A 23,161-nucleotide genomic window follows, 5' to 3' on the forward strand; every position below is an offset into this window, starting at 1 on the left:
GGCAGAAAGGGCTCCAAATCCGATCCCACCCCGATCCTCAATGGCTCCGAATTTACACTTGGTCCTCTTATTGACGGGGCGAGATGTCCTGTTTCTAGCAGCCTCCAGAGCCAAGCTAGGCGAGAGGCGTAGGAGGCAGAGAGAGCGGGCGCGGGAGGCCAGGGTCCGCCTGGGGGCCTGAGGGGACTTCGTGGGGTCCCGGGAGTGGCCTAGAAACAGGGAGCTGGGAGGGCCGGGAAGAGCTTGAGGCTGAGCGGGGGACGAACGGGCAGCGCAAAGGGGAGATGAACGGAATGGCCGAGGAGCCACGCATTCGCCTTGTGTCCGCGGACCCTTGTTCCCGACAGGCGACCAAGCCAAGGCCCTCCGGACTGACGCGGCCTGAGCAGCAGCGAGTGTGAAGTTTGGCACCTCCGGCGGCGAGACGGCGCGTTCTGGCGCGCGGCTCCTGCGTCCGGCTGGTGGAGCTGCTGCGCCCTATGCGGCCTGCCGAGGGCGCCGCCGAGGGCCCGCGAGCTCCGTGGGGTCGGGGTGGGGGGACCCGGGAGCGGACAGCGCGGCCCGAGGGGCAGGGGCAGGGGCGCGCCTGGCCTGGGGTGTGTCTGGGCCCCGGCTCCGGGCTCTTGAAGGACCGCGAGCAGGAGGCTTGCGCAATCCCTTGGCTGAGCGTCCACGGAGAAAGAAAAAGAGCAAAAGCAGAGCGAGAGTGGAGCGAGGGATGGGGGCGGGCAAAGAGCCATCCGGGTCTCCACCACCGCCCTGACACGCGACCCGGCTGTCTGTTGGGGACCGCACGGGGGCTCGGGCGAGCAGGGGAGGGAGGAGCCTGCGCGGGGCTCGTGTTCGCCCAGGAATCCCGGAGAAGCTCGAAGACGGTCTGGTGTTGAACGCACACGTGGACTCCATTTCATTACCACCTTGCAGCTCTTGCGCCACGGAGGCTGCTGCTGCCCGGCGGCTGCTACCCACCGAGACCCACGTGGCCCCTCCCCAGGGGTGTAGGGGTGACGGTTGTCTTCTGGTGACAGCAGAGGTGTTGGGTTTGCGACTGATCTCTAACGAGCTTGAGGCGCAAACCTAGGATTCCCTGAGTGTTGGGGTGCGGCGGGGGGGCAAGCAAGGTGGGACGACGCCTGCCTGGTTTCCCTGACTAGTTGCGGGGGGTGGGGGCCGGCTCTCAGGGGCCACCAGAAGCTGGGTGGGTGTACAGGAAAATATTTTTCTCCTGCCGTGTTTGGCTTTTTCCTGGCATTTTTGCCCAGGGCGAAGAACTGTCGCGCGGGGCAGCTCCACCGCGGAGGGAGAGGGGTCGCGAGGCTGGCGCGGGAAGCGCTGTAGGTGGCAGTCATCCGTCCACGCCGCACAGGCCGTCTGCGCCGTCGGACCATCGGGAGGTCTGCAGCAACTTTGTCCCGGCCAGTCCCCTTGTCCGGGAAGGGGCTGAGCTTCCCGACACTCTACCCTCCCCCTCTTGAAAATCCCCTGGAAAATCTGTTTGCAATGGGTGTTTCCGCGGCGTCCAGGTCTGGGCTGCCGGGGGAGGCCGAGCGGCTGCTGCAGCCTCCCTGCTGCCAGGGGCGTCGGACTCCGCTTCGCTCACTACGCCCAGGCCCCTCAGGGGCCCACGCTCAGGACTTCGGGGCCACACAGCAGGACCCGGTGCCCCGACGACGAGTTTGCGCAGGACCCGGGCTGGGCCAGCCGCGGAGCTGGGGAGGAAGGGGCGGGGGTCGGTGCAGCGGATCTTTTCTGTTGCTGCCTGTGCGGCGGCAGGAAGCGTCTTGAGGCTCCCCAAGACTACCTGAGGGGCCGCCCAAGCACTTCAGAAGCCCAAGGAGCCCCCGGCCACCCCCGCTCCTGGCCTTTTTGCCAACGACTTTGAAAGTGAAATGCACAAGCACCAGCAATTGACTTCCCTTCCGTGGTTATTTATTTTGTCTTTGTGGATGGTGGGCAGATGGGGAGAGAGGCCCCTACCTAACCTCGGTGGCTGGTCCCTAGACCACCCCTGCCAGCCGGTGTGGGGAGGAGCTCAGGTCCGCGGGAGAGCGAATGGGCGCCAGGAGGTGGGACAGAATCCTGGGAAGGTACAGCGGACGCCCTGGAAGCTCCCCTGATGCCCCAGAGGGCCCTTCCTGGGAAACCTCCCGGGGGGGTGCCCCATACCATCCCACCCGGCTGTCTTGGCCCCTCCCAGGGAGCCGCAGGAGAAACTAGCCCTACACCTGGGATTCCCAGAGCCTTCTGCTGGGGCTCCTGCCCCCGACTTCGGATAACCAGCTCCGCACAGGTCCCCGAGAAGGGCCGCTGGCCTGCTTATTTGATACTGCCCCCTCCCAGACAGGGGCTGGTCGAGCCCCTGGTTCTGCTGCCAGACTGAAGCCTTCCAGACGCCACCTCGGTTTGGGCCCCCAGGGCCCTCAGGGGCCCCAGGAGAGGAGAGCTGCTATCTAGCTCAGCCACAGGCTCGCTCCTGGTGGGGGCCAGGCTGAAGGAGTGGACCCTGGAGAGGTCGGGAACCTTTTAACAGCCGTGGGCTGGAGGGTGGCTACTAAGTGTTCGGTCTGGGAAGAGGCATGACCCGCACCATCCCGGGGAAATAAACGACTTCTTAAGGGAATCTTCTCGCTGAGCGGGTGCTCTGGGCCAGGAGATTGCCACCGCCAGCCCACGGAACCCAGATTTGGGCTCTGCCTTGAGCGGGCCGCCTGTGGCTTCCCGGGTCGCTCCCCCGACTCAGAAAGCTCTCAAGTTGGTATCGTTTTCCCGGCCCTCGGAGGTGGATTGCAGATCACCGAGAGGGGATTTACCAGTAACCACTACAGAATCTACCCGGGCTTTAACAAGCGCTCATTTCTCTCCCTTGTCCTTAGAAAAACTTCGCGCTGGCGTTGATCATATCGTACTTGTAGCGGCAGCTTAGGGGCAGCGGAACTGGTGGGGTTGTGCGTGCAGGGGGAGGCTGTGAGGGAGCCCTGCACTCCGCCCCTCCACCCTTCTGGAGGAGTGGCTTTGTTTCTAAGGGTGCCCCCCCAACCCCCGGGTCCCCACTTCAATGTTTCTGCTCTTTGTCCCACCGCCCGTGAAAGCTCGGCTTTCATTTGGTCGGCGAAGCCTCCGACGCCCCCGAGTCCCACCCTAGCGGGCCGCGCGGCACTGCAGCCGGGGGTTCCTGCGGACTGGCCCGACAGGGTGCGCGGACGGGGACGCGGGCCCCGAGCACCGCGACGCCAGGGTCCTTTGGCAGGGCCCAAGCACCCCTCGGGGCCACACCGCCGCCCGCAGGGCCGCGCCTCCGCATTGCGGCACGCTGGGGTCGCAGGCGCCGAAGCGGGACGCGCTGTTTTCTACGACGTCCGTCCCTCCCAACGTCAGGGCAGCCACCTCAGGCCCGCCCGGAGAAGCCCACCCGGCCCCCGGCCCCCACTCAGTCGCGAGGCCCCGCCGGCCTGGAGATCTGCGCCCCCGGGATCCATATTTCAAATATGATCTTTGGAACGGCTTCCACCGCCCGCCGCCGCCGCCGCCGCGCTCACAACGGCCTCGGCGCACTGTGTTTTTATTTGGGTTTCGTTTGCTCAAGGTCGCCCCGCGGCTCTCCCGTGCCCCTGAGGTTCACCCCTTCACGCCAGCCCCTGCGTTTTCCTCTCGGGTGTCCCCGTCGCGCCCCCAAACCCAGCGGGGCCCACTCGCAGGGCAGATTTCTTTCTTCCTTTTTCCAACCAAGAGCTGCTGCAGCAAGGCAGGGAATGAAATAAAAATCGCTAGGCGGACCCCGAAGTGGTCGTCAGCCGAAGCGCAACTGCCCCCCTCCAACTCGCTCCCCTGCGCCCCTCCCCCTCGGCTACTCCCCTCCCAGCTCCCAGCCTCGCGGCGCGCCGAGGGTTAAGCGCGCGCGCGAGGTGGGGGTATTTGGCTTGGGAGGGGGGCGAGAAAAGGGGGCGCCGAGCGCCGCTGGCGGAGAAGCTGGGCTCGCTCTAGTTCCCTCTCCCCAACCCCGGAGCCGAGGGGCGGCCCGATCGGAAGGGCCCGGCGCGTCTCCGCCTCCCCGGCTGGCCTGCAGCCTGGCCTGGCCGCGGCCCGGAACCGCGAGGACGCTGCTTGGAGGCCGCGTCCTGCGTAGCCCGAGAGGGGGAGGGGGGCGGAGGCTCCGGAGCCGCGGCCGCGCGTCGCCCGCCAGCCGATCGATCCCCAAAGGCGGGAGCGCGGTGAACCCCGCCGGACACCTGGGGGGTCCCGATGCCTCTGCAGGACTGAGGGGCGAACGGAGAGGGGCTCAGGGATCCTGTGGCCGTGGGATGGCGGCCGGCAGGGCCCAGCCGGACCGCAGCTTGGCCTGCACTGCAGGGCGGGTGGTAACACCTCGGGCACCCCCAAAATTCCATATTGTCTGCATGGGGCCCAGGCTTTGGACACTTCCGGAGCCGAGTCCGGTCGCAGTGCAACTTCATCCCTACCTGTCCAGCCCCCAACCCCACCCCCATCCCCGATGACGAGGTCGTGGGACGCGGTCACCCCAGTCTATCTGGTCGCCCCGCCCTCCTGAATCCTGGTAGAAATGTTCGGGTGTCCCCTCGACCCCACCTACGGGAAGATAACCCAGGTGTGCCCTAAAAGTCCCCTTCCCCAGCTTCTTCCAGAAGGCCGTTTCCTGAAGTGGTCCCTGGGGATGGCCCCTGAGGACCTCCCCCAGCCCCCCCGAGCCCCCAACCCCAGGGATCCCCCTTGGCTCCTCGCCTGCCAGTCCCGGGTGCCCAGGCAGGGCCCGGGCAGGGGCGCAGAGGAGCTTGCACTCGCCACGCCCTCCCCTAGGGGGCGGGCTCCCCCTGGCCGGTCCGGCAGCCCCTCCGCGCCTCTCCCGCAGGGGGGAAGGAGGTCCGGACGCGGGCAAAGCGGGGGTCTCGCTGCAATGAGAGATGGCCTGAAAAGCCCCGCACCCCCGCCTCCTGCACACCCCGTCCCTTCCCCCTCCCCACGGCGGCCGGGCTGCTGCTTTCGTAGCCAGAAACAACCCGCTCCAGGGGACTTTGAACCTTGGGAGCCCCTGCGCCCTGAGCACGGAACAGGCCCCAGGGGTGCGGGCTATTGTCCCCGACGCGGGCCTCGTGCTCGGGGCCCTTCCACTCCCAGCGGGAAGTCCACACGAGCAGCACACACATATCTTTTTATTTGAGAGTTTAAAAGGAAATCTGAGGTCCAGAGGATCACAGAGCCTCTTGTTCTGCTATCAAAGGACCAATAAGAAGCAAACTGATATTACAGGGCAAATGTTCCCAGACAGCCCAGCCTGCTCCCCTTAGGAATGAGTGTCCCTGGAGGGGGAGAGCCTGGAACCAAAGCCCCGCCAGGAACTGCTTCCCCTAAACTGAGGTTCTCTGAAAAAAATGTTCGCCTGGCTGATAAAGCCGCCTCTTAACAGAGCCCAGACACTTCTGTGCTTCCCCTGGGTTGCTAATTGAGGACACTAAAGCCCTAAGAGATACCCCAGGTCGGGGGAAGGGGCCCCAAGACCTAGACCTCCGGTGGCGACCATGCCCTTGAGAGGATGGGAGCTGAATTGGAGCACGAGATTATTTATCATCGCTGGATGAAGCTCCAGCTAGAGCTCAGTATTTCCTCTTTTTCTGGGCTCAGACAGACACAGACTGGAAGGAATCCTGTCCGTGTGGCTGTGGGAGTGTTCAGTTGATAAAGGGCATGTGTGGTGCAGGGGTGGGGCCAGCCCTGTGCTCTTCTGGGTGGGGCCCCTCTCCATCAGGCCCAGGAGGCTCCGTGCAGGGCCCATGAAAATGTTCTAGTAAAAAAGAATTGTTTATTTTAAAAATTGTGGTAAAATACATATAACATGAAATGAACCATTTTAACCAATTTTCAGGCTCAATTCAGTGGCATATGCACATTCATGTTGTAGTGGGACCATCACAACTGCTAGAACTTTTTCATCTTCCCAAACTGAAACTCTGTCTTCATTAAACACCAGCTCCCTCTCTTAGACCCTGGCAGCCTGCATTCTACCTTCTGTCTCTATGAATTTGACTACTCTGGGGACCTCATCTGAGTGAACTCACACAGAATTTGTCCATTGTGACTGGCTTATTTCACTCAGCACAATGTCATCAAGGTTCATCCATGCTGTAGCAGGAGTCAGAAGTTCCATCCTCTCTCTTTTTTCTTTTTTTGTTTTTTGAGGTGGAGTTTTGCTCGTTGCCCAGGCTGGAGTGCAATGGTGCGATCTCAGCTCACGGAAACTTCTGCCTCCCGGGTTCAAACGATTCTCCTGCCTCAGCCTCCTGGGTAGCTGGGATTACAGGCATGCGCCACTACGCCCAGCTAATTTTGAATTTTTAGTAGAGACGGGGTTTCTCCATGTTGGTCAGGCTGATCTCGAACTCCCAACCTCAGGTGATCCGCCCGCCTCAGCCTCCCAAAGTGCTGGGATTACATGCGTGAGCCACCGTGCCCGGCCCACCCATCCTTTTTCTTTAAGCCAATATCTCCAGGGAATTTCCATTCTTTTAAAGGCTGAATAATATTCCATTGTGTGTATATATAATTTATTTTAAAATCAGAAGAAACTGGCTGGGCACAGTGGCTCATGCCTTTAATCCCAGCACTTTGGGACACCGAAGCCCGTTGATTGCTTGAGCTCATCCATGAGTTGAACTCATCCTTGAGTTCAAGGCCAGCCTGGGCAACATGAGGAAACCCCCATCTCTAAACAAAATATGAAAATTAGCTGGGCATGGTGGTGCAAACCTGTAGTCCCAGCTGCTTGGGAGGCTGAGGTGGAAGGATCTCTTGAGCCCAAGAGGTGGAGGTTGCAGGGAGCCGAAATCATGCCACTGCATGTCCAGCCTGGTGACAGGACAAGACCCTGTCTCAAAAAAACAAGACTATTTTTTTTTAAATTTTTATTTATTTATTTTTGAGATGGAGTCTCGCTCTGTCGCCTAGGCTAGAGTGCAGTGACATGATCTCTCCTCTCTGCAACCTCCCCCTCTTGGGTTCAAGCAATTCTCCTGCCTCAGGCCCCCAAGTAGCTGGGACTACAGGCATGCGCCACCCTGCCCAGCTGGTTTTTGTATTTTTAGTAAAGACAGGATTTCGCCATGTTGGCCAGCCTGGTCTCGAACTCCTGACCTCAAGCGATCTGCCCGCCTTGGCCTCCCAAAGTGCTAGGATTACAGGTGTGAGCCACTGCGCCCAGCCAAAACCCAGAATATTTTAATATATAATATTAATGTGTTCATCCCAACAAAGCTATAAAATGTAATTCTACTTATTTTATTTTATTTTTTTGGGCACGGACTTTCATTCTTGTCACCCAGGCTGGAGTGCAATGGTGCAGTCTTGGCTCATTGCAACCTCCGCCTCCCAGGCTCAAGTGATTCTCCTGCCTCAGCCTCCCAAGTAGCTGGGATTACAGGCATCCACCACCACACCTGGCTAATTTTTTTTTTGTATTTTCAGTAGAGACGGGGTTTCGCCATGTTGGCCAGGCTGGTCTCCAACTCCTGACCTCAGGTGATTCCTGCAGCCTCCCAAAGTGCTGGTATTACAGGCGTGAGCCACTGCGCCCAGCCTATACAATGTAATTTTAAATAACTTTCTATGGAGGAAGGGGTCCATGAAAGTGAGGGTGCAGTCCCGCTTCTGGGGGAGGTTTCAAGAATGGCACCTCTGAGGAGACCTCACAAGTCAGGACCACCAGCTTCCTTGTGGACGCCTTCAGTGAAATCAGCTGTTGGCCCTAGACTGATGGCCGTGGTGGCCCAGAGTCCACCTGCCCCTGTGCCCTGGGACACGAGGACAACCTTGGGCCACTTCTCCTCACTATTGAATGCTGGCTTCTGTTTATTTGACTAAAACAAAGAGCATGTCAAAGTAACAGGGAGAAGGGGGAATAAACACACAAGCCTACCTTTCTCTCGTGGTTTTATTCCGAGTTAATTCCGTGGGGCTCTGAACCAGCTCCAGTACTATGGATTTCTCCCGGATGTCCATCTGGCCTGTGTCAGGGAGTTGATTGCCCTATGATTTGACAGTAATGATGATAATGGGGTGATTTTGTATTCTTTGACTCATTCAGATCGGAAGGTTCAGAAATAGACCCATGTCCTCCACCCCCAACCCCTTGCTTGAAACTAGTCTTTTGATTCTAACGAAATGGCAGGATCTTATGGATGAACTGCCACAGAGAAAGGACCCTTCTCTTTTTGAAGCTATTGGGGATGACTGGGGTTTATCTTTTTAGCCTGGAGACCAAGAGTTAGTACCATAGAAGCCGATAACTATTGCACAAAACCAGAGAAAATACTGCCACAGAAGCCTAGGTGGGAGAGAAGTCTTTCTCGGAATTTTGAAAAACAGCCACAGCTGTATGTACACGGAGCGATCTGAGGATAGCTCACTCCCACACTCTGCTGATGTCACTTTTTCATCTTCTTCTTGGTTACCCACGGGCAAAGATACGTTCTCATTTGCACTAAGCCTGACTTCTGCCTTCTTTCCCCAGATAGGCCCTGGCAGGCAGGCAGACGGACAGATGGGTGCAGACGCAATGCTAGAGGTGTTAAGCAATTGGACCAAGGGCAACTTGGCCCCTGACAATGTCTCACTTGCTTCTCAGCCTGACCCAGGGGAGCCACATCTGCCTTCTGATGTGCACGTCGCAGGAATTACCAAGAAACACTGTGTTCTGCTGTGGCACCTGTGTGTGTCCTGGAGGACAAGTCCCAGCTCTGGGGCAGCTCTGGTTTTCCAGAAAGGAAAGGTCAGTGTTGACGGACGCAGCCTGCCGAGCTGGCGCAGGCTGCTCCAGGGCGACATAGATTGTACCGCCATCATTTTTCATGTCGCTCATTAGCAGTCTGATTAGGGGTGATGCACGTCCGTGATTTCCCCTCAGCTCAGACCCTCCAATCCTGCAGAGGTGTCGCTGGACCTGAGGGTTTGTATATCCCACCCTCCAGAGCAGACTAGGGATGAAATACATCATCTACCTCTGCAACCCCTGCCCCAGGTAAACGAGCTTTATCGTCAGGTCCTGGGACTGAGGGTGAGGCACAGAGGAGGAGACTCCCTCACTGCAGAGTGGCAGTGGGGCTGAGAGTTGGGCGGGGAGGAGTCCCTGCACCTTCTGCTGGTGCATGCATGGCCTGGTCCCTTCGTCGGGGGTCATGCACAGTCTGGGAGAGGGTGGAGATATGTCTTTAAGACCAAAGGGACACCAGGAGGTAGAATCACTCACAGAGGAGCCAGGCTCCAGGTTGCCAAGGTGAACTTGTCAATAGAGTATTGAACAGGCTGGTCCAACTGGCCATAATTGTCTATTTCAAAACAGCCAGGCTCTGGTCCTCCTCGCACGGCCCAGAGGCCCACAGGCAGGACCCTAGCTGGGCAGAAATATCTGGGAGAATGAGCAATGGGCTCCCAAGACAGAACCCACCAGCATCCCCACCCGTCCCGAAGGCACATGGGTCTGAAACCTAAGAAAACTAAGAAAGGTTTCTTTCCTCCCTCACTTCTACCCCGGCTTATGACTCAAGGTGACACAAAGAACATCCCAGCTCCCCAGAACCTGTCCCTTTTTTATCCAGAGGACTCTGCCTGGAGGGACCCCCTCGTGAGAGTTTCCCAATTCCCTGTGAGCCCCAGACAAGGGTGGTGGGGCCTTTCGCTTCACAGGGCAAAATGAAAATGTGGGGCTCCTTGATTAATAATTATTAACAATTTCAAGGTGTTGGACCATGCCACCCACCTGGGGCCATTCTGATCTCAGGGCCCCATGGGTCTGTGCAGGTCCCATGTGACAGGCCCTGTCCCCTCCTCTGGCAGCTCACTGGTCTCTGCTGGCTTTCCGTGGCTGTGATTTGGCTCCTGTCTCGTTTCTGCTTCCCTCTGGGTCCTTTGGCTTCCAGTGCCCCCTCCCCCAACAGACCAGCTCATTCCAGCAACCAGAGTCCTCCCAGGCTGAGAGCTGTCCCGTTAATCCTCGTCATCCCTGTTGGGGGAAACTAGTGGTGGCCCCAGGGTCAGGTGTCCAGCTGTAGTCAGGATGAGCAGGCTCACGTGGCTGAGGGCGGAGGAGGAGGGGCCTGGAGCAGGCTTTCTGAGCTGAGGCCTCATCAGTCCCCAAGCCTGCTGGGGTGCCCCAGTAGTGGTGTTTGCATGCTCGGTCACCCTCCTCCCAGCTACACTACACGCACCCTTTCTTTTCCTTTTTTTTTTTTCTTTTTTTGAGACAGAGACTCCCTCTGTCACTCAGGCTGGAGTGCAGTGGCACAGTCTTGGCTCACTGCAACCTCCGCCTCCCAGGTTCGAGCAATTCTCCTGCCTTAGCCTTCTGAGTAGCTGGGATTACAAGCGTGCACCACATGCCCAGCTAAATTTTTTTTTTTTTGTATTTTTAGTAGAGAAGGGGTTTCACCATGTTGCCCAGGCTGTTCTCGAACTCCTGGCCTCAGGTGATCTGCCCGCCTCGGCCTCCCAGAGTGCTGGGATTATAGGCATGAGCCACCACACCCAGCCCCTTTTCCTCTTCATCCCATTAAGGTTGCACCTCCCCAGGTCACCAGCAGCTGAGCAACTTACTCATGTGGGAGGAATGCCCCTGCAAGTGGGGTGCACCCCAGTGACTTGCGTGTCAGACTAGATGTGACTCATCTACTTGTCCTAGACAGCCTTGTCTTCAGCTTCGTGTGGGAGCCTCTATGGGCCTTGGGTCCTAATACCTAGTAGAGTCTCTGTTCCTCCCAGCTTGCCCCGTGAGCCACCCAGGCAGAGGTCCAGATCCACGGGGACTGACCTGACAGAACTCTTGGCCATGGCCAGTTAGGACTGTTGAGACAAGTAGGAGCTGGGGCGCTGCACACCTGCTGACTGTCCCTCTGCCATGTGGAAGCAGGAGCATGGTGTGGTAAGAGCCAGACGGACCCAGGCTTCTCCCCGCTCTCCCGCCGGCCACCGGCGTGACTCCGAGCACCAGTGTATTCATCTGCAAAGGGGAGAGGAGACTTTCTAGGCTCAACACCCTAAGAAGTCCTCTGACATCCAAGGCCCTGCCTCATGTGTCCCCGTGACCTCCTGGCTTTCTTTTCCACCCCTCTCTCCCTTATACACTCTGTTCTGGGCACACGGGCTCCTCCACTAATCCTCAAACACTGACTTGGTGTTGCCTCAGGGCCTTTGAACTGACTGTAGCCACCACTTGGAATGTTCTTTCTCCAATAACTGCATGGTTCTTTTTCACTCAAGTCTTTACTCAAATGTCATCTTTGTAATGAGCTGGCCCTGACCACCTGATCACTACGGTCCCAGCCCTGTCCCCACCAACACTCCCAATCTCCTTATTCCTGCTTACATAGCACCCTCACCTCCTTACAGACAGTATCCTCTGGATGTTGATGGTGTTTCCAGCCTGCATCTCCTGTTGGAACATAAGAGCTGCAAGCGTCGGGGCGTGTCCACACCCTTGTCCGACGTGTCCCTGGCATCTGGCACAGTGCCCAGCACGTACCTGTCAGATGAATGTTGAATTAATAGGATTTGTGTGAGGACCGAGTGAGCTCACACAGCCAGATGAAGCTGGTCCACCCGTACGGGCTGGCAAGAGCCGTTGGCCACATTCTCAGACATTTTGTGAACCCGTTGTTGAACCCAGCCATGATTACAAATTAAATGATTGGCATTTACAATTAAATTATGTAAAGAACAACAATAATAAATGCTCACTACTGACTCCTTCCTAGTGATTTCCTCAGATTCACATGTTCCCGGGTTCTTTGTGTCCCCTGTGTGTGGTGGAAAACGCCACGCAGGGGCAGCTGCTGCTGCACATCTCGGCCCAATTCTGCCTTCAGCGCTGTCCTAATGGTAGCTTGAAGCCAGCTATGGCTGGAGCTTTTACTCAACAGAAATTGGTAAACACGACAAATCGTGACTTGATTTTTTCTTTTGTTGATTGTCTATACTTTAGAAAGTGATAGAAAAAAAAAAAAGAAAGTGATGAAAAAGTGTTAATCATGCAGATTAAACTTAAAAGTGTGTCCTGTTGGCTGGGCACGATGGCTCACGCCTGCAATCCCAGCACTTTGGGAGGCCAAGGCGGGCAGATCACTTGAGGTCAGGAGTTCGAGACCAGCCTGGTCAACATGGTGAAACCCCGTCTCTACTACAAATACAAAAATTAGCCGGGTGTGGTAGCGTGGTAGCGGGCGCCTGTAATCCCAGCTACTCAGGAGGCTGAGGCAGGAGAATTGCTTGAACCCAGGAGGCGGAGGTTGCAGTGAGCCCAGATTGCACCACTGCACTCCAGCCTGGGTGACAATAGCGAGACTCCATCTCAAAAAACAAAACAAAACAAACAAAAAAGTGTGTCCTGTTTGTAGCCATTATGTTCTTTTGTTCCTTCTTTTCTTCTTCTTCTTCTTTTTTTCTTTTTTTTTTTTATACAGGGTCTCACTGTGTCACCCAGGCTGGAGGGCAGCGGCAAAATTTTGGCTCACTGTGATCTGCAACTCTCGGGCTCAAGCAATCCTCCCACCTCAGCCTCCCAATTAGCTGGGACTACAAGCGTGCACTTCCATGCCTGGCTAATATTTTTGTATTTTTTAGTACAGACGGGTTTTTGCTGTGTTGTCCAGGCTGGTCTCAAACTCCTGGGCTCAAGTGATCCAGTGGCCTCGGTCTCTCAAAGTGGTGGGACTACAGGCATGAGCCACCACACCCAGCCCATTATGTTCCTAAGAGCACAGGAATGGAGGAAGTAGTATTAAAAAACTATTCCCTGATTTATGAAAGAAGTTCCTGACATCATTATGAACGAGAAGTTTGACCTATTCCTTCGTTGTTTCACTTTCGTTTTACTGGTTAACTTAAATGAAAATACCCACAGCCATTCAAGTCAGAACCACACTCATTTATCAAAGGCAAGCCTGGGCTGGCAACTGATCCCAGAGTTTGGCAAAAAAGCAACAAAAACCTTCTGTGAATCCATCAGTATATGGAGCTTACAATGAAGAGTATCTTCTATTTTATTATTTGTTTATTTATTTTATTTTATTTTTTTGAGATGGAGTTTCCCTCTTGCTGCCCAGGCTGGAGTGCAACGGTGTGATCTCAGCTCACTGCAACCTCTGCCTGCCAGGTTCAAGTGATTCTCCCGTCTCAGCCTCCTGAGTAGCTGGGAATACCGGCATATGCCACCATGCCTGGCTAATTTTGTATTGTTAGCAGAGACGGGGTTTCTCCGTGTTGGTCAGGCTGGTCTTGAACTCCTGACCTCAGGTGATCTGCCCGCCTCGGCCTCCCAAAGTGATGGGATTACAGCCGTGAGTCACCGTGACTGGCCTATTTTATTATTTGTGAATGGCGTGCTATGCATCCTTTATATCTGTAATATTTATTTATTTATGAAAAAAAAATATTTTAAGAACGGAGTCTCGCTCTGTCGCCCAGGCTGGAGTGCAGTGGTGCGATCTTTGTTCAGGGCATCCTCCACCTCCTGGGTTCAAGCGATTCTCCTGTCTCAGCCTCCCATTAGGTGGGATTACAGGCACTCACCACCATGCCTGGCTAATTTTTTGTATTTTTAGTAGAGATAGGGTTTCACCATATTGGCCAGGCTGGTCTCAAACTCCTGACCTTAAGTGATCCTCCCACCTTGGCCTCCCAAAGTGCTGGGATTACAGGTGTGAGCCACCGCGCCCTGCCTATCAGTAATATTTACAATAAATAAATAAATAAATAAATAAATATACATGCATGCATACATTTCTTTTTTTCAGAGAGCCAATTGTTAATGCTAAACATTTACTAGCATCTCATACAAGCACCAGCCCAGAGGAGGCATTTAGATTACTGTAAACAAATGAGAGATGTTTAATTAGGCAGGGCTGAGGGAATTAATTCAACTCCATAGATAGCCAACCCCAAAGAAGGCTAGGAGACAGGAGGCCTGACCAGGCCAAGGGCGCAAGTGGTAAGAACCAGGTGTCAGTAGGGCAGGGACCACAGCGTGTTCGACAGGGTCATGACGAAAGGTGCAGCCCAGTCCTGAGGATGGTGACCTTGGCCTTTTGGGACAGTATCTTTAGCTCATACTTCTGGGACAAGGTGTTCCTTCCTGTGGGCTGCACGCATGCCCAGAGCTCCAAGCCCCTAGGCATTGTCCAAAGGCTGAGGGCCACATGCCCCTGGACGCATGCCCCGTTATCCTTGGGGTTGCCTGATGCTGCTGCCTGCTCTCCATTCTCCCAGCTGTTTAGGGACTGACCATGTCTATGCTGCCACCATCTATATCTGCTCAACCCAAGGAGGGGCTGATCTAACCCTGGCCCTGACTCTCCTCTTGCTGCTGGGAAAGAATTGTCCTTTTTTAAGTTTATTTTTTAAGTGTGTTTGCAGAAAGCACGCTTTAGGTTTAGTGGTCAGGGAAGGCTCACTGAGGAAGGAGTGTGTGGCTTGTCATCTCTAGGTTGGGGAGGAGCTGGGACAGCAGGTGCCAAGGCCCTGAGGTAGGCACCTCCTGAGTGTGTTTGAGGACCAGAAGGAAGGCAGGAGCAGTGGGCAGCGTGGGCTGGGGGAGTGGGGTCAGATGGCAGACTGAAGAAGGAGGAAGGCAGTTTGCCTGAGTGTCTGTGACTCGGAGTTTGGACTTGAGTCTCATTGTTATGGCAAAGCTTTGGAGGTTTTAAGCAAGGAAGTGGGGGGACCAGATAACGGGGTCAGACCCAGACCCTGGGGCCACAGGGCAATTCCTGGGACTAGAGGAGGAGCTGTGGGATCAGCAGGGACTGGGGGTAGAGAGCCACCATGCCACTGCCCTCCCCAGAGGGCGTTCTCCTGCAACAGGTCAGCTTCTTCGAGGCAATGTAGAAGCAACATGTCTCCCTCAAAGGAGTGTGAATTTAAAGACTCGAAGGCCGAAGACGGAGATGCCGGCAGCCAGGTTGCATAGCTCTGTGTTCTGGCTGGGCCATTTATTCACTCTTTGACCTTGAGCAACTGATTTCACCCCCCTGTGCCTCAGTTTCTCCATCCTGAAATCGAGGCTCATGATGAAGTGGTTGGTGGTCACGGAGGTTAACTGGATTAATAGGCAAAGCACTTAGCACTGTATCCAGCGAGAGTGAGTGCACAACACATGGAAGCTATTACTGTTATTTTTATTGTTGTTATTATCGCTATTAGGACAGAGAAACACCCGGGGCAGCCAAGCCCAGGCCAGGATGCCTGAGCACACTGCCCTGTTGGCAGAGCGGGTGGGGATCCTGGACCAAGGCTCATGGGTTGGAGCCTGTCGGGGTAAATCCTCTCCAAGGCCTGGCTCTGCTCCCTGCCAGCTGGACTGAGCTGCACACGCTGCCGCGTCTCTGGGGCAGTAGGTGTTACGTGTAGTCCAGCCAAAGGTTCCAGAGCTGGAGGAGGTGGACATCTGGGGCCACAGAGCCCTGGGGCCCTCGGGACTTGGGGCCCCAGTGCTGCCACTGCTAACCCATTGGTGCCCCTCACTCCCCGCCAGCCTTGATGGTGACCCTGGGGAATAGGCATCGGAAGGCTTTGGTCCTTAGTTCAGGGTTGACCCTCTGCTGGGTCTGTTTATTCCCAGGAAGTCCTCAGTGCAGATAGAAAGGCTGGGCTTGGTGGAGGCACCGGGATTGGAGCTGAGCACAAACACTGCTGGGGGCAGGGTCCTCTCTGAGAAGCAGAGTCGGGATGTGGGGGTGTGCGCTGTGTACTTGGGGCCTTTGGCTCACTGCGTGTGAAGAGGAGATTTTAACGCCCACCCGGTGCCCGCCTTGGACACACAGCTTGGGAGGCTCGGCTGGGCAGTTCTGGGCAGCAAGGTGAGGGGTCAAGGGGACCACAAGAGAGGAACCAGGGTGCCATCCAGCTCCTGGGGAGCCACCGGCTGGATTGTGTCGATGGCTGGAAACCCACCTGGGCCATGTGGTCAGGATGGCAGCGTGTTGTGATCACACAGCCTGTACCTCATTTTGAGAGGAGCGTCTTATGCCCCCACTTCAGAGGGGGAAACTGAAGCTGTGACTTTTGTGCAAAGTGGCAGCAGAGCTCGGACGCAAACCCAGGGTTGCCAGCCCTGGGCACGTGCCCTGGGCCCTCTCACTTCGAGCTGGACAGCAGCTCCCCCCGCTTCTCTTCCATTCCCTGACCCTGATGAGTCCTCGGGGGTGGTGGGGGAAGTGCAGTGCGATTTGGAGTGAATTAAACAGACACAAGTCCCCATTGTCTCAGAATTTACTCTGTGTGTGTGTGTGTGTGTGTGTGTGTGTGTGTGTGTGTGTGTGTTTTCTGGAGACGGGTCTCACCATGTTGCCCAGGCTGGTCTCAAACTCCTGGCCTCAAGTGATCCTCCTGCCTCTGCCTCTCAAAGGTCTGGAATTACAGATGTAAGCCACTGTGCCCAGTCTCAGGGTTTGCAGTTTTAGAAGATAGAAGCTGGTGCAGGTAGTGTGGGCTGAGGACTGCCTTTAGGCGGCTCGTTCACCAAACACTGGACTGAGCTGAGCGCCTGGTGAACACATTCCTATCTTATCCGCACAAACACTGCATGAGGTTGTCCTAATTATCCTCAGCTTTGCAGAGGAAACTGAGGCCCAGAGAGTTGAGCAATGAGCAAGAGGGCATGAGGGGTGGATATTTGTAAAGAGTGGGACAGTGTGGATTTTGGGAGCCACAGGGCGAATCCTAATGCATTGAATACTTGCCTCCCCCAAATATTTGTCTACCTGGAACGTCAGAATGTGACTTATTTGGAACAAGGGTCTTTGTAGATGTGATTAAGGTGCAGATCTTGAGAGGAGATCGCCCTGGATTGGAGTGGGTCCTGAATCCAATGGTAGAAGAGACTGAAGAGGGGAGGACACGCAGGGACATTCTCCTGGCATCTGAAGCAGAAGCCAGGGAAGACGGAGGCAGAGGATGGAGCGATGCAGCCACAGGCCCAGAAACGCCAGGCAGGAGTCCCTCCTGGGGACTCTGCAGGTAGCACAGCCCTGATGACACCTTGATTTAGGACTTCTGGACTTCAGAACCAGGAGAGAATCCATCTCTGCTGTTTGAAGCTCTCCAGGTTGGGATGGAGCCAGGGCTTGCCCCTGAGGCCTCGTTTCTTCCTGTCCCTGTGCGGCTCGGCTGCCTGCCCAGCCTGGATCCTGGTGTAAAAGTCCCGCATCCTTTTCTTTCTTGTGAGACAGAGTCTCACTCTGTTTGTCGCCCAAGCTGGTGTGCAGTGGCTCGATCTTGGCTCACTGCAACTTCCACCTCCCAGGTTCAAGCAATTTTCCTGCCTCAGCCTCCTGAGTAGCTGGGATTATAGGTGCCCACCACCACGCCTGGCTAATTTTTGTATTTTTAGTAGAGACAGGGTTTCGCCATGTTGGCCAGACTGGTCTTGAACTCCTGACCTCAGGTAATCTGTCTGCCTCGGCCTCCCAAAGTGCTGGGATTACAGGCATGAGCCACTGCGCCCACCCTCACATTCTTTTCTTATTATTTCCTGAGCACCTACTATGGGCCAGGTGCTGTGATGTTTCCTCATTTAATCTCCATTCAATGTGAAATCGTCACTGTTATCCATGCTATAGAAGAAAGAACACCTCACATGGCCCTGACCTGGCCCTGAGAATGTGGGGAGGACACACAGAATGGGGACTCCTCTCCCAGGAGCTGCTGTTGGCCTCTGCTGGGGCTCGCCCAGGGCTCTCCGGAAAAACAGACCTGATAGGATACATGGAGGCTCTAAGAGGGGACCCCCGTGGGAATTCGCTCACACACTATGGAGGCTGAGAGGTTGCAGGGCCAGCCATCTGCAAGGTGGGGAACCAGGGAAGCCAGCCATGATGTTCAGTCTGAGTCTGAAGGCCCTAGAAGCAGGAGCTCTCGTGTCTGAGGGCAGCTGGAGGTGGATGGTCCAGGTCAAGCAGACCCAGTGCAGTAGCCTGCTCCCAGCCTTCCTGTTCTACTCAGGCCCTCGAGGCTTGGCTAATGTTGCCTACATTGGTGAGGTGCGGTCTACAAATCCAAGTGGGAACCACTTTCGGAAACACCCTCGCAGACTCAGCCCTGTCAAGCTGACACATGAAATTAACCATCTCATCATCAAAATGCCCCTGAACGTGCAAGATACAATGGGGAAACAAGCAGATCACTCAATGGACCCAGCATGGTGCCATTAAAATCCCTGCAGTTCACTGGGCACAGTGGCTTACGCCTGTAATCCCAGCACTTTGGGAGGCCGAGGTGGGAGGATCGCTTGAGCCTAGGAGTTTGAGACCAGCCTGGGCAACATAAGGAGACTGTTTCTAAAACAAAATAAAACATAACATAAAAACTCTTTGCCGGGCACGGTGGCTCACACCTGTAATCCCGGCACTTCGGGAGGCCAAGGCAGGTGGATCACTTGAGGTCAGGAGTTTGAGACCAGCCTGGTGAAACCCCACCTCTACTAAAAATACAAAAATTAGTGAGGTGTGGTGGTGGGCACCTGTAATCCCAGCTACTCGGGAGGCTGAGGCAGGAGAATCGCTTGAACCTGGGAGATGGAGGTTGCAGTGAGCCTAGATGGGGTCACTGCACTCCAGCCTGGGTGACAGAGCAAGACTCCGCCTCAAAATAAATAAATAAATAAATAAATAAATAAATAAATAAATAAATAAAACTCTCATAGTCCCCGCTAAACACACATGAAATTTCTGGAAGGACAAAGCTCCGTGGCTGTTCCTAGTCCTGCCCTGGGTCCAGCCATCATCTCTGAGTGTCTGGATTGGGGTGGGTGCCACAGCTCTACCTTTCCTCCACTGATCTGCCCCATCTTATCACTCATTCCCTCTCAAGCTGCCCGGTTCCCTTGTCTGGGCACCAGAGACCTTCTCCTGGCACCCGCCTCCTGCCTGGGACTTCCTCTTCAGCCTCATGTCTGTTCCCTGTTTCCCTGCTCCCCTCGGAGAAGCTCCATCGCAGCTGAGCAGCCTCCCTGCAACCCTCCTTATGGGCCCTGGCCTGCTCAGGTGGTGCCCCTGCCCTTTCAGGGGAGGGAGTGAGGGGAGGACATGTACAGAGCTCAGCTACATCCCAGGTAGGGCTTGAAGCCCTTTACCTGCACCCTAGCTCTTCCCAGGAGCCCTCACGTTTCTTTTCTGAGGCAGAGTCTTGCTCTTTTCTCCCAGGCTGGAGTGCAATAGTGTGATAGCTCACTGCAGCCTCGACCCCTAGGCTCAAGTCATCCTCCCACCTCAGCATTAGCTGGGCATGGGGGCAGGTGCCTGTAATCCCAGATACTCAGGAGGCTGAGGCAGGAGAATCGCTCGAACCTAGGAGGCAGAGGTTGCAGTGAGCCAAGATCGCGCCACTGCACTCCAGCCTGGGCAACAGAGGGAGACTCGGTCTCAAAAAAAAAAAAAGTATAAAAATTATACAATGAAATATTTACATTGTCATTATTGTTGTTCTAAGTCTTGGAAATCCAGTGTGGATCTTGTACTTGACAGCCCCTCTCCGCCGGGACTCGCTGAATTCCAAGGGCCCCATAGGCACACGTGGCTCTTGGCCCCCACAGTGGACAGTAAGCGTCTGGGACAGGATGGGGTGACTTTCACATCCCAGGTGGAGCAAATTCCTCTGGGCTCTGACCGGTTAGAGCTTTATGGTATGTCCCTCACAGTCGTAGGGGCCTGAGGCAGCATCGGTGGCTGGACTTGGTATCAGTGGTCATGTGGTCATTTATGTGCCCAGTGTGGCAAGCCTGGCACCAGACCTGGCAAGGGGGCTTCATCTGGGCCCAAAAAAGTACAGACAGCGTGGTCTCCAGCCTGCCTCCCGGGGAGGCCTCCCCAGGTGGACTTAGAAAAGGAGGTCAGAGGCGGGATGGGAGGTGGCCTTTGCAGGCACCTGGAGGGGCTGTGGTGTTGGGTCCCTGGATCTGGAAGGTCACATCAATAATGTGTCATCTGCTAGTCCGGGGCCACTGCAAAGGCTCCCATCCCAGGAGACGGCAGTTTAGCACTGGCCTGGAGGCTGGCTGGCCTGGAGGCTGGCTGGCCTGGAGGCTGGCTGGCAGGCGCAGCTGGGGCTTGGGTTTCCTCTGGGGGAGGCTGCTTCTTCCCTCGTGCCCGTCCACGCTTTGGTTACAGGCAGTGAAGCCGCTGATGTCAGCGGGACCGCGGCTGCCCCTCTGAGGTGTCTGTGGCCTGCCACCAGAGCAGCGGGCGGGGTGGCCTCCCGCCTGAGCCTGTTTATCATTTAAGTGGATACCATGCTCTGGCAGCTGAGGGTAATTACGGGGGCTGCGTCCTTGAGGACGGGTCTGCGCATGTGCTTCTCGCGGGGCTGGTGGCCCAGCCGGGGCGGCCTCGGTGCCGTCAGCTGCTCGGTGAGATGTGAAGGGCCGGGGCTCCGCGTGGGGCCTTCCGTGCTGCAGCAGAGGCCTGGGATTGGAATGCGAAATCCCTCTGCGGTGGAGACAGGGGCTGGTGGGGGTCATGCCATCTTCAGGGCCGTCCTGTTGGCTCTGACCTCCTGCCACCAGCCACAGACTCTGCTCCAGGGTGTCCACCTACCCCAGCCGTTCCTCCTCTTGTCTGCATCCCTCTGTCCCTCTCTTCCTTCTCTTCCTCCTCCCTTCAGTCGTGTTTAGCAAGTCCCATTCCCTGGCCTCAGCGTCCCGATCCTCCCATCCCTTGGCTTTGCTGGGGCTTTTCCAGGCTGCTTCTGCAAGCCTTGTCATTTTGTTGCTGGGATGGCGCCGGGAGGTGGAATAGAGTGCCCCCTGCCCCCACATTCATGTCCACCCAGGACCTCAGAATGTGACCTTGTTTAGAAATAGGGTCTTTGCAGATGTAAAATCAAATTGAGATTAGGTCATACGGGATTAGGGTGGGCCCTTAATTCAATAAAACTGATGTCTTTTTTTTTTTTTTGAGACCGAGTCTTACTCTGTCACCCAGGCTGGAGTGCAGTGGCGCGATGCCAGCTTACTGCAACCTCCATCTCCCAGGTTCAAGCAATTCTCGTGCCTCAGCCTCCCGAGTAGCTGGGACTACAGGCACCTGCCACCACACCCAGCTAATTTTTGTGTTTTAAGTAGAGACAGGGTTTCACCATGTTGGCCAGGCTGGTCTCGAACTCCTGACCTCAGGTGATCCACCTGCCTCGGCCTCCCAAAGTGCTGGGATTACAGATGTGAGCCACCACGCCTGGCCAAAACTAGTGTCCTTACAAAAAGAGAAAAACTTGGACAGAGAGGGAGGAAGGCCAAAAGGCCAAATGAAGATGAAGGCTGAGATGGGAGGGAGGCAGCCACAGCTAAGGTGTACCACGGGTTGCCGGCAGCCACCGGAAGCCGAAGAGGCAGGAAAGATTTGACCCCAGATCCTCAAGGCGAGCCTGGCCCTATTGCCACCTGGATTTTGGACTCTGGCCTCCAGGAGCCCAAGACAATAAACTTCCATTGTTGAAACCAACTCGTGTTGGTTATTTGTGACGGCAGCCCCAGGAACTCATACAGCCCCCTCCCCTGGGCTCGGCCCTGTGAGCAATAAGAGAATCCCCCCAGCTGACCCTGCTCTTGGGGCACCTTCAAGCCTCAGCAGGCTGTTCCTGAAATCCAGCTGTGCAGCCAGGATCGGTGAGCACACACACATTTTCAGGGATAATGGTCTTCAGAATTCCAAAGGATTTATTGGAGCTCGCCCGACGTGGACCACAGCCGAGCTGAAACCCACACTTGACAAGTGATGCAATCAGCGCTCGACTCTTGCCAGCGTTTTCGGGAGATTAGGCAGCAGCAGGGGCTGGGGTGCACAGGAGCAGGCAGACAGGAGCAGGCGATTGCAGCAGCATCAACACCTGAGTCGATGTGATGGCGTGGCGAGTGGCCACAGACTCTGGGAGCCAGCCGGGGAGCACAGCGTGCCCGGCAGAAGGAGGTGATGCTGGCTGAGCAGAAAGGTCACCAGGTGGGGTTGCAGTGGCCTGGACAGCCAGGAGGATGCTCTGTGGGCAGCCAGCCGTGGCCAGAGGGGAAGGCTGTGAACGGGGTGGTTAGAAGCCACCTGCACTGGAGTCCTGGCCACAGTGGGGGGTGGTCCTGGATCTCAGGCTCCTCTCTGTATAGGGGGCCTTACATGGCCCACCTCCAGAGCCCGAGGAGGCTGAGTTTGGGGAGGACAGTAAGCCCTTGGACTTCCTGTTGCTGCTTGGTGCTGTTGTTAGGAGTCTGGAATGTGCTGGAGCTATAGATTGGGTCACTCTCTGCAAAAAGCAGAGGAAGGAGGTGCAGGAGGTCAGGGGCAGTTCCCGGGGGAATATCTGAGGAAGGGCAGCCATGGAAGAGATGGATGGAGGCCAGGGAGACGGTCCCAGAGGCCACAGCAATCACAGGCTTAAAGACGGGGGGAGGGTCAGGGAGACCCAAGGGTGGGTCGGAGATGGGCCCCAGGGACTGAGGAGGGGAACTTGGACAGAGAAGTTTCATAGACAGAAAAGAGCAGACAGGAAGTTATGGAGGGTTGGGGTCGGATTCATGCACACACACACACACACATGCCCATATAAATACACACACACCAGCAAACACACGTGCATGCACGTGGGCACACACACGAATACACACATGCACACACATATGCACAGGCAGCAAGACTGACGCTTGGCCATGTCATGCAGGCTGTCAGAGAGGAGAGGTGAGTGAGGGGCTGGGTGGGAGGGCGGCAGGGGTCAAGCAGAGGTGTGTGTATTTCAGGACAGAAGAGACAAGAGTTGGAATAAAAAGAATTGAAGATGACGGGGAACCGGGGGTGCGAGGAGTTTGGATGCGGGGGCGTCTGCCTTGGAAAGGTGCAGAGCCTGGCAGGAAGGAGGGCAGATCAGGTGCCTTGCTCTGGAGTGCTAGGAGGGGAAGGGGGTCTGAGGGGGTGCTCACCCTGGCTGTGGTCTTTTCAGAAAAGCCAAAGACAAGGTCATTGCGCAGTGTTCCTAGGGGAGGCTGGGGCTGCACGCAGGGTCAGCTGGAGATTAGGGAGCAATGGCTGCTCAGCAGGGAGGCTCGGCCAGCCAGGGCAGACCCTGCAGAGACTGAGGCTGCCCCATCCTAACCCTGTTCCTGGTGAAGACCTGCAAGCGGCCACAAAGCAGTGGCTCA

The 23,161-nt window shown here is 56.1% G+C and overlaps 4 annotated features.

Annotated features, from left to right (window-relative positions):
* Window positions 785-1,608: an enhancer, noted in NCBI's record as "H3K27ac-H3K4me1 hESC enhancer chr17:77814721-77815544 (GRCh37/hg19 assembly coordinates)". NCBI's record gives its function as "activates a minimal SCP1, AML or CMV promoter by ChIP-STARR-seq in primed H9 embryonic stem cells {active_cell/tissue: H9 hESC(primed)}" and the evidence as "EXISTENCE:reporter gene assay evidence [ECO:0000049][PMID:30033119]".
* Window positions 1,609-2,430: an enhancer, noted in NCBI's record as "H3K27ac-H3K4me1 hESC enhancer chr17:77815545-77816366 (GRCh37/hg19 assembly coordinates)". NCBI's record gives its function as "activates a minimal SCP1, AML or CMV promoter by ChIP-STARR-seq in primed H9 embryonic stem cells {active_cell/tissue: H9 hESC(primed)}" and the evidence as "EXISTENCE:reporter gene assay evidence [ECO:0000049][PMID:30033119]".
* Window positions 4,699-4,918: a silencer, noted in NCBI's record as "silent region_9095". NCBI's record gives its function as "represses an Ori minimal core promoter by ATAC-STARR-seq in GM12878 lymphoblastoid cells {active_cell/tissue: GM12878}" and the evidence as "EXISTENCE:reporter gene assay evidence [ECO:0000049][PMID:35858748]".
* Window positions 10,096-11,295: an enhancer, noted in NCBI's record as "BRD4-independent group 4 enhancer chr17:77824032-77825231 (GRCh37/hg19 assembly coordinates)". NCBI's record gives its function as "activates an origin of replication core promoter dependent on BRD2, P300/CBP, MED14 and CDK7 cofactors, and independent of BRD4, by STARR-seq in HCT116 cells {active_cell/tissue: HCT116}" and the evidence as "EXISTENCE:reporter gene assay evidence [ECO:0000049][PMID:35650434]".

Source organism: Homo sapiens, chromosome 17 (genome assembly GCF_000001405.40).
Source record: "Homo sapiens chromosome 17, GRCh38.p14 Primary Assembly".
Classification (NCBI taxonomy): domain Eukaryota; kingdom Metazoa; phylum Chordata; class Mammalia; order Primates; family Hominidae; genus Homo; species Homo sapiens.